Below are 14987 nucleotides of genomic sequence, written 5' to 3'. Positions count from 1 at the left end.
GAGAGTCATACAGAGACTGTGTAATTTTTAAGTAAGGCAGATTATCCTTCGTAACTTAGGTGGAACTCATTAAATCCGTGGAAGGCCTTAAAGGCAATAATGCTCTGTTCAGTTTAGTGATGTCATCAGGTTTATAATGTGCATCTTTAACGTTACTGTCTATCTTTATTTATTTATTTATTTATTTATTGAGTTGGAGTCTTGCTTTGTTGCCCAGGCTGGAGTGCAGTGGCGCAGTCTCGGCTCACTGCAGCCTCCACCTCCCGGGTTCAAGCAATTCTCCTGCCTCAGCCTCCTGAGTAGCTGGGACTACAGATGCCCGCCTCCACAACTGGCTAATAGTGAAACCTTGTCTCTAGTAAAAAATACCGTCTACCTTTAAATGCTATAATGCCACTACACCAACACTGAAAGGACTTTCCAGTCATGCTGTTAGCAGTGGTAGTAGTTATCCACAAGGGTCTGCAGCAACTTCAATTCAATTCTTGTCTCCTCGGAAGAAAGAATTCGACTGATGGTCAAAAGGCAGAAGGAGAGACCCAAGGCAAGTTTTAGAGCAGGAGTGAAAGTTTATTTAAAAGCTTTAGAGCAGGAATGAAAGGAAGGAAAGTACACTTGAAAGAGGGCCAGGCAGGCCACTTGAGCGACCAAGTGCACGGCTTGACCTCTTGCCTTGGGGTTTTCTACATTGGCATACTTCCAGGATGTTACCCGGAAGGATGTGTTACTTGCGTTACTTCTTCCCACTCCTGAGATCTTATCAGGAAGCTGCTGATCACCAGTTTCAGATATTTTCTATCAATTAGGAGCACACCTTCTCCTGACGCCAGCTGTGACCAATTATTACTTTAGAGAGACACTGTAGCAACCGCCTGACCATCACCTGATGGTGGCCTGACAGTCCTGGTATGTGTAGGAGGGAGCCCTCTCCTGCAGTGCTCCTACCTGACCAGCTACCTACTGTAGCAATACTACTCCATCTGTGCCTTGTTCTTGCATGATTGTTTTCATACCTGCTTTTTCTAAATGGGTTGTCAACCCACAAGACCTTAGAATCATGCTTCCTTTAGGTAGTCAATAGCTATTTGTTAATTCAATAATTTAAAGTAAAAATTCACTTGAGCATTAAAAGATAAAAATGTAAGAATAAAAATAAATCATTGTTTATATTTATCAACATATTTACTTTTTTGCATTCCTACCTGTAGATATATATAAGCCTCCACCATTCAGCCATCACCATTTCTTCTGCTATGGATCTGCTGAAGCCAAAATTTCTTAGCTCTTATTAATGGAAGATATTCTCAATTTTCTTTCATTTTTAAAGACATTTTCACAGTGTAGAAAATTTGAGGTTGATAGATGTGTTAATTAATTAATTAAATTCTACAACTTCAAAGATGTTATTTGAATGTCTTTTGACTTGCCTTGTCTCTGATTAAGTATCTATAAGCCAACTCTCATTGTTGTTCTCTTGCTGTAAGATGTATTTTTTTTTTCTGGATACTTTTAAGATTTTTCACTACGTCTTTTGTGTTCTGGAATCGAATGACAATGTATCTAGGTGTAATTTGCTTTGTATTTATCTTGCTTAATGTTTATTAAGCTTCTGGGTTTTGTGGATCGATACTGCATTTTAAATTGGATAATTCTCCTCTTTTATCTTCCAATATTTCTTCTGTACTGTTTTTCTTTCATTTTCTACGGGGACTCCAAATACATATATATATATAAAATTTTGTTTTTCGAGACAGAGTCGCACTGTGTCTCCCAGGCTGGAGTGGAGTGGCACAATCTTGGCTCACTGCAACCTCCACCTTTTGGGTTCAAGCGATTCTCTTGCCTCAGTCTCTCAAGTAGCTGAGACTACAGGCACACACCACCACTTCAGGTTGGTCTCGAACTCCTGACCTCAAATGATCTGCCTGCCTAGGCCTCCCAAAGTGCTGGAATTACAGGCGTGAGCCACCACACCTGCCCAAATTAAACATATAGTATACTGTTTGATTTTTGTCCTGCAGGACTGTGATGCTCCTTTTTTTTTCTTGATGAATCAGTATAGATAATTTTGTTGCCTTTCACTTTTTATTATATTTTTATGCTACGTTCAGGCTACAGTTAAGCTCATTTGATGGATTTTTTTTAAATTTACTTTAAGTTCTGGAATACATATGCAGAACGTGCAGGTTTGTTACATAGGTACACGTGTGCCATGGTGATTTGCTGCACCTATCAACCCATCATCTAGGTTTTAAGCCCCGCATGCATTAGGTATTATCCTAATGCTCCCCCTCCCTTTGCCCCCCACCCCCTGACAGACCCCAGTGTGTGATGGGCCCGTCCCTGTGACTATGTGTTCTCATTGTTCAACTCCCACTTATGAGTGAAAACATGTGGTGTCTGGTTTTCCATTCCTGTGTTAGTTTGCTGAGGTTGATGGTTTCCAGGTTCATCCATGTCCCTGCAAAGGACATGAACTCATTCTTTTTAATGGCTGCATAGTATTCTGTGGTGTATATGTGCCACATTTTATTTATCCAGTCTATCATTGATGGGCATTTGAGTTTGGATTCTTTCTTAGAGCTATTATATTTTTCAGTTCTAACATTTCCAGTTGTTTCTTTTGTAATGTTTTAATGTTTCGTTTTAATTCCCCTTCTATTTATGCATATTGTTCACTTTTTCCACTGGATGCTTTAACATATTGACAGTAGTTATCTTAAAGTGCTTTATGCTAATTCTAACATTTGGGTCATCTATGGGTTTATCAATCAGCTTTTTTTCTCTAGCTAATTTGAGCACATTTGCCTACTTTTTAAATATCTTAGAACTGTATTTGAAAAGCATTGTGGGCTGGATGTGGTGGTTCTCGCCTGTAATCCCAGCATTTTGGAAGGCCAAGGCGGGCAGATCACTTGAGGTCAGGAGTTGGAGAGCATCTGGCCAACATGGTGAAACACTGTCTCTACCTAAAATACAAAAATTAGCCAGAGGTAATGGTGGACACTTGCAATCCCAGCTACTTGAGAGGCTGAGGCAGGAGAATTGCCTGAACCTGGGAGGCAGAAATTGCAGTGAGCTGAGATTGTGCCACTGTACTCCAGCCTGGGTGACAGAGTGAGACTCCATCTCAAAAAAAGAAAAAGAAAAAGAAAAAAAGACATTATGTATACAAGATGAACGGAGCCTGAGTCAAGAAATACCACTGGAGAAAAGGGTTTACTCTGTCCCCTCTCAGACTTCCACATTAGAGTGGAAGGGTTCATCCCCTTTAATCTCATCCTAATTTTACTGGGTTTGGGTTGGGTTGCAGCTTCAGTGTGCTTCAGTTCACCATTGGTTTTAAATGTTTTGAAGGTAAGATCAAGATTCTCCCTTCAGCAGGGCTTGGGATCTGAGTCCCAGCATGACTTCTTCGATCTCTCCCTCTCCTTCACTACCAAGGCTCCTGCTCTTTGGACCTTGGAGAGCTCTTTCTGCTGTACAATCCACCTGCATATTTTCACTTTTTTTTTTTCTTGAGTCAGAGTCTCACTCTTGTTGCCCAGGCTGGAATGCAATGGCTTGATCTCAGCTCACTACAACCTCCACCTCCCTAGTTCAAGTGATTCTTGTGCCTCAGCCTCCTGAGTAGCTGGGATTACATGCATATGCCACCACGCCTGAATAATTTTTGCATTTGTAGTAGACGTGGGGGTTTCACCATGTTGGCCAGGCTGGTCTTGAACTCTTGACCTCAGGTGATCCACCTGCCTCATCCTCCCAAAGTGCTGGGATTACAGGTGTGAGCTACCGAGCCCAGCCATTTTCACATTTTTTGAAGATGTCTCTTAGTCCTTATGCCCCCTTGCCTTCAGTGAGCTGCACCATGTACTCACGGAGGTTCAGGTGCAAAGAATTAGCAGGTGACTGTGCCTCTGGGGACTCCCTGCTCTTCCACCCTGCCCCAGCCTTCTGTGTGCAGTTCTGCAGCTCACAAATCAATGGGAATGCTGGAAAGGAAAGTCTCTGAAAGTGAATCAAGGAGCAGTTGCTAAGATAGGGGAGAAACAGATGCTAAAAAGTCAGTGATTTTTCACTACATTATTGCACACATGCTCACAACGTGACTTCGATTAATCTGGCCAGGTTTACTTCTCCAACTTCTTCTTTTTGGTGGAAGCTCCCTGGTTCCCATTCTGTACTACAATTGCACCAAATCATATACCATTCTCAGATTTTTTTCATTTAAATTTGCTCTACAAGAAACATGTTTAACATTTCCCTTTCTTCACTCTATTGATGAGTCCTATTTATCCTGCAAAATTCCATTTCAAGTTTACCTCTCCAAGCAAGCCTTCCCTCAGTCTGATTCAAAAACCACCCGTAAGTTTGTATGTGCTCTCCTTTCTTCTAGCCCTTATTCTATTTTATTTTGATTACTTTTCTACTAATACATTTGTCTCCCACACTAGGATTTGTGTTCCTTATGGAATGAAGCAATGCCCAATTTCAGTTAGCATCCGCAGAATCTAACAGAGCAACAGGAACTCAATGATTTGTGTCAAGGAATGTTGAGCACCCAGGTCCCCCTTTTTAACAGCTTCTTCTTAGTTCCTGCTTCTTTCATAGTAAACATAACCACAATTCTCATCCCTTCACATAGACCCCACTACTTTAAGTGATTATGCTATTGTTTATGAGTACTTACTGCTTCCCAAAGCTTTCCAATTATTATTGCATGCAATCTCCCACAACTCTGCTGTTTTGGTGTGTATTAGCCTATTCTCACACTGCCATAAAGAACTACCTGAGACTGGGTAGTTTACATAAAAAAAAAAAGGTTTAATGTACTCACAGTTCTACATGGCTGGGGAGGCCTCAGGGAACTTACAATCATGGCTGAAGGCAAAGGGGTAGCAGGGCACGTCTTACTGAAGAGAGAGAGAGAGAAGGGGGAAGAGCCACACACTTACCAAACAACCAGATCTCGTGAGAACTCTATCACGAGAACAGCATAGGGGAAACCACCCCCGTGATCCAATCACCTCCCACCAGGCCCCTCCCCCAGCATGTGGGGATTACAGTTTGAGATGAGATTTGGGTGGGGACACAGAGCCAAACCATATCATAGTGCTATTACCATACTTTTCATTTACAGATGAGGAAACTGGGGCTTAGGGTGTTTCAGCAATTTTCCAGAAAGAGCTGGGATTCCAACCCATGCCCATGTCAATCTAGAGCCCACACTGCTATGACTACAGCTAAGCCTTTTGTGTCTTCTCCCCTCCCTTTTATTTCTCTATTCTCCTCCCTTTCTGCTTCTGGCTCCACACTCCATGATCGGTTGATCAGCAGAGCTAATCCATCTGGTGGTTGACACGCGGTGCCTCGGAGCTCTGGTTTTCCCTTTTCTGCTTCTGTATCATCCAGCAACTTCTGTTTTCCTCTGAGGTCACCCTTAAAGGCTTCTGTGTCATGTTTCTCATTTCTGCCTTGTCGAGGAAATCTTGCCAGTGCATCTATCAAAGTAATCATCACAAGCCTGATGTAAGAGTATGGTTCCTCTCACATTTTTCATTACTAGATAATTTATTAATATCCTTCCAGAGCAGCACTAGATTTATCTTGATAAAACTGCTATCAGCGGTGACATAAGAGATGCCCCTGGGATGCCCCAGGAAGAGCCGTGCACTCACCTCTTTCACCCCTTAATACCTCAGGAAGCCCAACCCAGAGTCAGCCCAGGGGGCTGCCAAGACCCAAAACATTTTATCATTTTGATAAAGATGACCCGGGGTAGCCTCGAAGGGATTGCAACCTATCTCGCCTTTCTTTTCCGCTTGTGGCAAACACAGGATTGTCTGTGTATCTGGGAAGGCAGGTAGTAAGGGGTGGATAAATTACCTTCAAAGAGTTCACTATTTATCTCATTTTCATGTGAGCATCTGCAGGGAACAACTTCACCTCTCAGCTCAAGTGAGCTTTCTGTGAGGCCTTGCATCTGTGATTGGTGACAGACTTTTGCATTATTTTTGTGGCAGCTTCCGGTCATGGAATTCTTAGAAATGTGAGTGGAATGTATTGTCCTTGCCTTCTGTTCTCCTTCATGTCCTCCTCTCTCCAGGAAGAAAGTGGAGAGAGCAGATGCAGTCCCCTCCATCCCTGCTGAATATTTGCAAAAATAAAAATGCAAGAGGCCTTCTGGGTGAGGCAGCTGTCTCCATAGGCTCCTGACAGATGTCACTGCAGGGGTGCATTTGAGATGGGAGTATCCCTACATTCGCTGCAATTCAGGGTAGCTCTTTTATAAACTGGGTTTCATAGCTCATGTTGTAGGTGTGCATTTGAGATGGGAGTATCCGTGCATTTGCTGCAATTCTGGGTAGCTCTTTTATAAATTGGGTTTCATGGTTCATTTATCTTGACATCATTTCCGCCCCCAACCCTTCAACAAAACAAAAAGACAAAACATAAATAAATGAAAATATACATAGATACTATGAGCAAATGCTCTGGGGAAAGTAAAATCTCTTGGTGCTGCTATATGTAAATGAAGGGGAAAGTAAATGAAGGGGAAAGTAAAATCTCTTGGTGCTGCTATATGTAAACAGATACCTGGATACATTGTTGCTGGAAGGGCTGATTGGTTTATCAAAATGGGAATAAATGTGTCTGTCTCATTACTCAGCAAGGCTTTTATCCCACCCTTTACTATATATGAACAAAGAATGATTTTTGTAATATGTTTGTTTTGCTGCATTGTTTATAATAACAAAATACTTGTTGTTACGGAGGAAGAAACCGTTAAAGTAAATAATGGTACATTCATACGTTGGAATACTGCACAGTCAGGCAAAGGAGGAGACAGATACACGTGTTAGGATAAGGAGCAAGAGATACTTAGTGATAAAAAACAAAGTAAAAGTGTCTTTTATAGAATGCTCCTCTTGTCCACACATTGATTTTTATTTGAAGGATACACAGGAAACTAGCAACAGTGGTTTCATGGGAGAGGGAGACCTGGTCAAGTCTGAGGAAGGGAGAGGGAATATTTATTTATTATCATGGCTTTATTTTTATATTTATTTATTTATTTTTTTTTTAGATGAAGCCTTGCTCTGTCACCCAGGCTGGAGTGCGGTGGTGCGATCTCAGCTCACTGCAACCTCCGCCTCCCAGGTTCAGGCAATTGTCCTGCCTCAGCCTCCTGAGTAGCTGGGACTACAGGGGCACGCCACAATGCCCAGCTAATTGTTTGTATTTTAGTAGAGACGGGATTTCACCGTGTTGGCCAGGGTGGTTGCGAACTCCTGAGCTCAGGCAATCCGCCCGCCTCGGACTCCCAAAGTGCTGGGATTGTAGGTGCTACTTAAATTTTCCCTGATTATGTGCCTCACTTTCAATTAAAAGTAAAGGATCATTGGGAGGCCGAGGCAGGTGGATCACCGGAGGTCAGGAGTTTGAGACCAGCCTGGCCAACATGGTGAAATTTCATCTCTGCTAAAAATACAAAAATTAGCTGGGTGTGGTGGTGGATGCCTGTAATCCCAGCTACTCAGGAGGCTGAGGCATGAGAATTGCTTGAACCCAGGAGGTGGATGGTGCAGTGAGTCAAAATTACGCCGCTGCACTCCAGCCTGGGTGACAGAAAGAGACTCCGTCTGAAAAAAATAAATAAATAAAAGTAAAGGATCTTCATTTGGCTCTTTTTTCATCAACATTTCTGAGGCTCATAATTTTTTTTTTTTTTTGCTTTTTTCCTAAAATGAGCTTGAGCCACACCATCTGGTTCTCCCCCACTGATTTCCCTCCATAAACAATAAAATCTATGTTGTGCAGGTGGGCCATAGCTGACCACACCGAGGAAACAGTGCTAACAACAGTACATTGTTCTCTAATGGACAAAGCCAATTTTCACCTCAGTAATTCCCACAATGGTCTGAGTAGCAGGAAAAAAGGAGTCTATTGCTATTTTGCAGTTGAAGAAATTTTTCAACTGGAAAATACTGTGACATGTTCAAGGTCGCACATCCTGCAGGGAGTAGAGCAAATATTCACATCCAAATTTGACTGAAGCCACAAAGCACACCCTCTGCCTTTTGCCCCACTCACTCGGAGAATCATTTCTCTTGGGTGCTTTCAGAGGTAATGGCTATGAACTCCCATTTATTTTGCACAACCCCCTTCTTCTACCTGCTGCTGAACTGGTGACCTTCCCAGCCCCGTTCAGTTGCTGGTGAGGCTGTGGCCACAAGCTTTTGGCTCCAGGTGCCTGCTGGAGGAGAGCTGGCTCTTTCAATTGCTATTTCAATGCTGAGGATGGCTCCAGCCTCCTGGACAGATGGCCAATTGCACTTGAACTCTCAGAGTGCACATACGTCAACAGTGATAGAGAGCTTCAGCTGTGACCAGAGCTGGGACAGCCATCCAAATGCGGAGCCATTCGTCACTGTGGTTGATTCCATAAAATCAGCAATGAGGGTACAGATGAGGGGGGAGGATGCAGCCTCCGCTCTCTGTAGCTTGGCAATGCTGGGAAGACCCAGTGAGCACCTGGCTTCACCAGAGTTAAGACTGTCGATCTCTTAGAGGCTCAAAAACCTCAATGAAGTGCCTTTCTTAACGTTACCGCACCCAATGATTGTTTTAAAAATATACTACTATGACTGCTAGACGCACAAAATAACAGTATACCTCTTTTTGTTGTTGTTGACTTACGCAAACAGAACTCTTGGAGAAGGAAGTTCTCTATCTTTTATTCTATTCCAATCCCTATCTCCTCTGATGGTTTATCTTTTTCTTTCTTTGGGATGCCACTTCATCTTCTAATACTGGCTTCTCTAGGGTCTAAAAGAGAAATCCCAGCGGAGTGAAGAGAAATGCAGCGTATTCAAATCCCCTATTCACTGTTTCTTAGCGGGGTAGCCTGTGGGAAGTTGCTGGCTATGCTTAAGCCTCAATTTCCTTTCTCCCATACTTGGGCTGAGCTGCATTTTAAAAACCCTGATTAGCTTTGAGGAAGACCTTCAGCATCAAATGTGTAGGATTCAGAGGTTCCATAGAGAAGGCAGAAAGAAGAGAGCCAGATGACAGGAGGATCCTGGAGCAGGTGCAGAGAGGCTGGTTGGAGAACCCAAGGAACACTGGGTCTTAATGCTCTGTGTGAGTGACTACAAAGTGAGGATAAGATTTTTAACTCGTGTGCTCCTATTACCAGAGGAAACTCTCTGGAGGCAGGCAGGAGCAACCAATATGGCCTGAGAAACACAAAGGTGGAGGAAAGATGTGTTTGTTTGTAGAGGAGGAGTTAATGGGGCCCAGTTTGCAGAAGTTCACTTATTCAGTGTGATGGTTGAGTTTATGTGTTCACTTGATTGGGCCATGGAGTGCCCAGATGTTTGGTGAAACATTATTCTGAGCATTCTTGTGAGGGTGCTTTTGGGTGAGGTTAACATTTAAGTCATTAGACTGAGTCAAGAAGATGGCACTCCATAATGGGAGGGGACTTCATCCAGTCTGTTAAAGGCCTGAATAGCACACAAAGGCTGACCCTTCCCCAAATTTCTCCTGCCTGCCTGCCTTTGAACTGGGAAATTGGCTTTTTTCTGCCTCCAAACTGAAGCTTAGACATTGGCTGCTTTTTTGGGGTTTCAGGCCTGGTGGCCTTTTGACTGAAATGACACCCTTGTCTCGCCTGGGTCTGCAGTTTGCTTACTCACTCTGCAGATCTCGGGACTTGTCAGCCTCCAAAACTGCATCAACGAATACCTTATAATAAATCTGTTTATATATCTCTATCTAACTATCTATCTACCTATATATCTGTCTTTCTCTCTCTCTCTATCTATCTATCAACATAGCTATCCGTCTATCTATCTATCTATCTATCTATCTATCTATCTATCTATCTATCTCTCTATCTATCATCATCTGTACATATATTCTATTGGTTTTGTTTCTCTGGAGAAACCTGACTAATAGATTCAGTGATGAATTCCTGTTCCCACTGTTTGTAGCACTAGGCTTAGTTTTGTGCATAACGCAAGTAGAAGTTGCCAGGTTCTCTAAGATAGGTATGGATAAACATCTGTGGAAGTTCAGAGGGTGATGGGCGAGACAGTTTGCTATACTAGAAACAATGAACATTTGACACTAATCTGTGAGAAGCAGAGACCAACAATTATTGAGCATCTATTCAAAAATAGTAGTTCACTTACTTCCCAGCAAATCTCCAGAAACTAAACACTATACTTCTCATTTTCCAGACTAGAAAAGACAAGCTAAAAATCCAGACTCATTGGCTCCAGGGTCTATTTACTTTAGGCTCCTAATGCTTTCTGGGCTCAAGATCATTAGGCAAACTCAATAGCAGAATCATCATTCAAATTACTCTCAACAAGCTTGAACCCTAATCTCTCTCTTTTTTTTTTCTTTTTGAGACAAACTCTCGCTGTGTTGCCCAGGCTGGAGTGCGGTTGCCAATCTTGCCTCACTGCAACCTCCGCCTCCTGGATTCAAGCAATTCTCCTGCCTCAGCCTTCCAAGTAGCTGGGATTACAGGCATGTGCCACCATGCCTAGCTAATTTTTGTATTTTTAGTACAGACGGGGTTTCACCATGTTGGCCAGGCTGGTCTCAAACTCCTGACCTCAAGTGATCCGCCTGTGTCAGCCTCCCAAAGTGCTGGAATTACAGGCATGAGCCACCACACCCAGCCTAACTTCAGTCCCAATCTCAAGTTCACCTCCTGGCACATAGAAAGTAAAAAGTCAAGCCTCACACTCAGGATCTAAAAAAACAAAGACATATACAACTATATGAGATTCAGTTTCAGCATCTGTAGAATGGGTAGAAGATACTCATTCATGGAGAAATTGCAAGAAATAATTGTAGCATGATTTTTACAAGTACAAAAATGATAATTACAGTAAATATTAGAGTAAATATCCACACTTTGGGTATTTACTTATGGTCACATTGCTGTTCCATGCCAGCATAATCTTGCTGAACGCAACATACCTTTATCCCGCTTCAGGGACTTCCCTGATGCCTTGCAGCTGCTTCTTGTACACCCAGCTCACTCTCAACTCTGACACTTCTGTGTGGAAATGGTGGGTTGATGGTCAAATGTCTTGTCGTTCACAGGTTCCAATGTGATCCCTAGGTGAATGAAGACATAGTTTCCCCTGCAGTCTCACCTGTAGAATAACACAAAGCCTGAGAAAGTCTTTAAATCCATACTTTTATCAATTTATTTTTTTAAGGCATGGTGTTCTTAAACCATAGTGATTCACAGAGTAATCTCAAGGAGCTTAATGGATGATGGGGGATTTAAGAGCTAGAGCCTGGAACCATTATCTATTTCCCAGACTCTGAAAGACGGCAAACGAAATGTCATCTATGTGCATGTAAGGGTGGAGGGGGCAGGCACATACTGGGTAGATTGGGAGCATGCACTCCAGACTTGAACTGATTTAACTGACAAGGATATAACAAGGTCAATCAGAAACTCCAATTTATTCTGTCATTAAATGAATACTTTATATCAACCATAGAGTGAAACTCTCAAGTTATAGTTGATGTCAGAAACATAAAATCACACCCCAGAGATTGGCTGGGAAGGTGGAGAGATGAGTTCAGGGAGTCAGTAACTAAACTCTTTTCTCAAGGTCATTTAGCAGATGGAAAAGTTTCCATAAAGCTCCAATGGTCCCCTCTGGAACCCTCTAACAGGGCTGATACTTACAATAAGTCTTAAGCTCCAGGGGAGGCCATAAAAGAACCCACTAATGATGACAGAAGAGGCTCAACACAGTTAGCCAAAGATAGATCCCCACAAGGGAGGTGGAAGTCTTCCACCTATGACTGTCAACAGGACTTTACTTCCCACGCTGGGGAAAAGCAATTGACTGAGAGAGGTAGAAGGGCTTAGAGAATTTCCAGGTTGACAGTTAAGTTTTTAACTACTCCACTGCCTTCTTGGGTAGTGAGGGAATCTTATTAGGGGTTGGGACTGGACTAGGCATTATAGAACTTGATTTGGTTCCTCCAAATGGTGATGGAGGCTTTGTTTGTCCTGGGTCCTTCTCCTATGAGGTAGAGGCTGATACCACTGGGGCAATACCTATATGAGACCAGGTATGGCCTAGATCCCTGGTTTCAAAAGGCGAGATGACCTAGTAGACTAAAAAGAACATCTTTACAGTCAGACATACTGAAATTGAACTCACATTTTGGTTCTCAAAGACCTTCTCTGAGCTTTGGTGTCCTTTTCTGAACAGCGTGTTTAATAATACATCCTTCACAGGGTCACTTGGTGATTAAATGAAATACTTTCATCAAATTACCTAACACTGTGCTGGGCATAGATTAAACACTCACACAATGGTAATTTTCTGACCCATCACTTTATAGAACTGGAGACAATATATCACTGAACAGACTTGGATCTTGACTCAAACCTTAGAAACTCTACAGATGGATCTTGGCTTGTACACCTCTCTCACCTTCAATTTAATTTCCTGTCTTTCCATCTTCCTTCCTGACTCCTTTATTTCCACTTAAAGTGTGCCCATCTCCTGATGCTGCTTTCTCTACACTCTGACATTCCCAAACCAGGCTTTGCTTTATCATAAACCCTCACCCTGCTATTCCTGTGATAGAATCCATCCTTTCATCTCTCTGCACTCCTTAGCATACATCTCTGTAGACAACAATAAGCAGTTGCTCTGCTCAGAATGACTTAAGACAGTGCTTATGAAAGTGTGTTTGGTGGGACGTCAAGAATGCCTGTCCTAGCTTAACCCCAGCTCCATGCAGGCTAGAAACCTAAATTCAGAATAGAAAGTTTCAGCCACTGTCTTTTGATGGAGGAGAAAAAAGTGTATCTCATTTATTAGAGCTTCCTAGAGCACAAGAAACAAAGAACAGACTCACATCTCAATAGATTATTTCAGGGCATGAAAAAAGTCCTCTGAGTCATCAGGCATTATGGTGAAGGAAAATTTCTTTCTGATTTTTGAGGACGAGTTTTCCTGGTGCAAAAAGAGAGAAAGGTCATCCCATTTGGAAAGGATGGGATATGCGGGCATACAGAGACAGGTTCCAAACAGTTATCTGTGGTTAAAGCACAAAATATGTTGAAGGAGATGAGCCTGGGGAAGACAGTGGTGCCAGATGTTGAACAGAATAGGTTGGAAGAATAGAGGCAAAAGTAAAATATATATATATATATATATATATATATATATATACCCAGTAGGAAACTGCAGTGAATATTCACTGTGCCCTTTTGCAGGAATTCAAAAGGGACATCAAGAACATTTCCTTAATTATTCCAGGATCAGGGACTAGAGCTCCTCCTAAGATAAACCTATTACAGATTCCATTGCTGCATAGCAGGTCTCCCTCAGGTTACTCTGAATCAAGGGGAGAAAAAAATTCTTGGAACAAGTAATTTTGACTAAGGGTAAAACAAGCTGAACTACTCCCATTGTTACAGTGTTATTTAAAAGGCACAATTCACCATGAGTTCAAAGCATATATTCATTCAAGGTGACAACTCAGCGGTGAATTCTTAGAGACGTTAACAGGAGGAGTTATGAGGAACATAGCGAAGGAGTTAAAATTTGAAGGAAAAAAGGATTGGGGATTATATGTACTTGAATTATGGAAAAGGTTGAAATGCATTCAAGAAAGCAATAAAGACAAGTGAACCAGAAACTCCCTGCTCACTTATGATAAAATATCTAGTTAATACCAAATAAAAGATTCAAATAGACTTGTTATAGTTCTTTAGAAAGTCTCTCTAAAATAATGCCCATATCCCCCACACTTTTTTTCTTTTTTTAAAAAAAGCACTTTCACAAATAAAGTATTGCATTTAGGAAGGAAGATTGGCTATGGGGAGTAAGCCGCTTAGCTAGAATGAAAAAGATATGAGAGGAACATAATTTCTGAATTTGGAATTGTTCTTAGACACTGCACCAAGCATCCTGCCTTGCAAACAAGACCCGCTGTTTATTTTATATAGGAATTCATGGGCCACCCTGAACACAAAAAAATGCACCTAAAAAAATTGGTGTAGTGGAAGAGATGAAAAATCATATTTACATTTGCAGTACAGGGTGAATAGCGCTCTAAAAAAATAGGTACTTCAAGAGCACAGAGGAGGGAGTGAGTGCTCAATGACTGGGAAAAATCAGGAAGGCATCTTAGTAGAGATGACATTTGGGCTAGTTCTTGAAGGGTCAACTGGAGCCCACCAGGTTGGAGAAAGACTTCTGCTTGGGAAGTATGTCAGTCCACTGCAGAGGGCAGGTGATGAGAAAGCATCGATGAAGTAGGTCTTAGAATAAATGAGGGTTTATAGGCTGGGAAAAATACCAGGGCTCTACCAAAGTGAACACCAAAGAGCATTTATCTTCTTTCTTTGTCTATGATCTAAGCACTGTTGCTTGCAAGAAATACATATCTGAAAGGGGATTCGAGGAATGTGGATAGTTTCCAAATCATAAACACAAGCATAAATCAAGTCAAGCCCAGTTCCTCTCTTGTTAGAAAAGAAAGAAAGAAAGAAGGAAAGAAAGAAAGAAAGAGAGAAAGAGAGAGAGAGAAAAGAAAGAAAGAAAGAAAAGAAAGAAAGAAAGAAAGAACCTGCAACTGTTCATCCTCTCTGTATTTGTTTCCAGGGCTGCCGTAACAGATTATCATATACTCGGCAGCTTAAGGCAACAGAAGCATATTGTCTCAGAGTTCTAGAATCTAGGAGTTTGAAATCATGGTGTCACCAGTTTGCTTCCTTCTGAAGGCTCTGTGGGAGAATCTGTCTCATGCCTCTCTCCTACTTCATGGTGGCTGCTGCAATTCTTAGAGTTCCTCTGCCTGTGGCTGCACAGGCCCCTTGCTCTCTGTGTCTCTCTCTGTGTTTTCTCCTTTTCTGTTTCATAAGGACACCCATCATTGGATTTAGGGCTCATCCTAAACCCAGCATTATCAGGTCTAGA

At 42.1% G+C, this 14987-nt stretch overlaps 2 long non-coding RNA genes across 3 annotated transcripts in view; one reads left to right on the top strand and one right to left on the bottom strand.

Annotated features, from left to right (window-relative positions):
- LOC105371069 (uncharacterized) overlaps positions 1 to 14987 on the top strand; it is a 236274-nt gene that overhangs the window by 7989 nt on the left and 213298 nt on the right. The window lies entirely within an intron of this gene.
- On the bottom strand, positions 5295 to 13158 carry LOC124903641 (uncharacterized). Of its 2 annotated transcripts, none has more exons than XR_007064972.1 (6): positions 12919 to 13158; positions 12213 to 12294; positions 11002 to 11180; positions 8677 to 8829; positions 5887 to 6427; positions 5295 to 5501 (listed from the first exon to the last, which is right to left on the bottom strand). It is a non-coding gene; the product is annotated as an uncharacterized LOC124903641 (long non-coding RNA). The 2 variants fall into 2 exon arrangements; XR_007064973.1 differs by having other exon boundaries at positions 8701 to 8829.

The sequence above is a fragment of the Homo sapiens genome, chromosome 16 (genome assembly GCF_000001405.40).
Source record: "Homo sapiens chromosome 16, GRCh38.p14 Primary Assembly".
In the NCBI taxonomy this organism is placed as follows: domain Eukaryota; kingdom Metazoa; phylum Chordata; class Mammalia; order Primates; family Hominidae; genus Homo; species Homo sapiens.
Note: the sequence above shows the minus strand (reverse complement) of the source record. Positions and strands in the feature narration are given on the sequence as shown.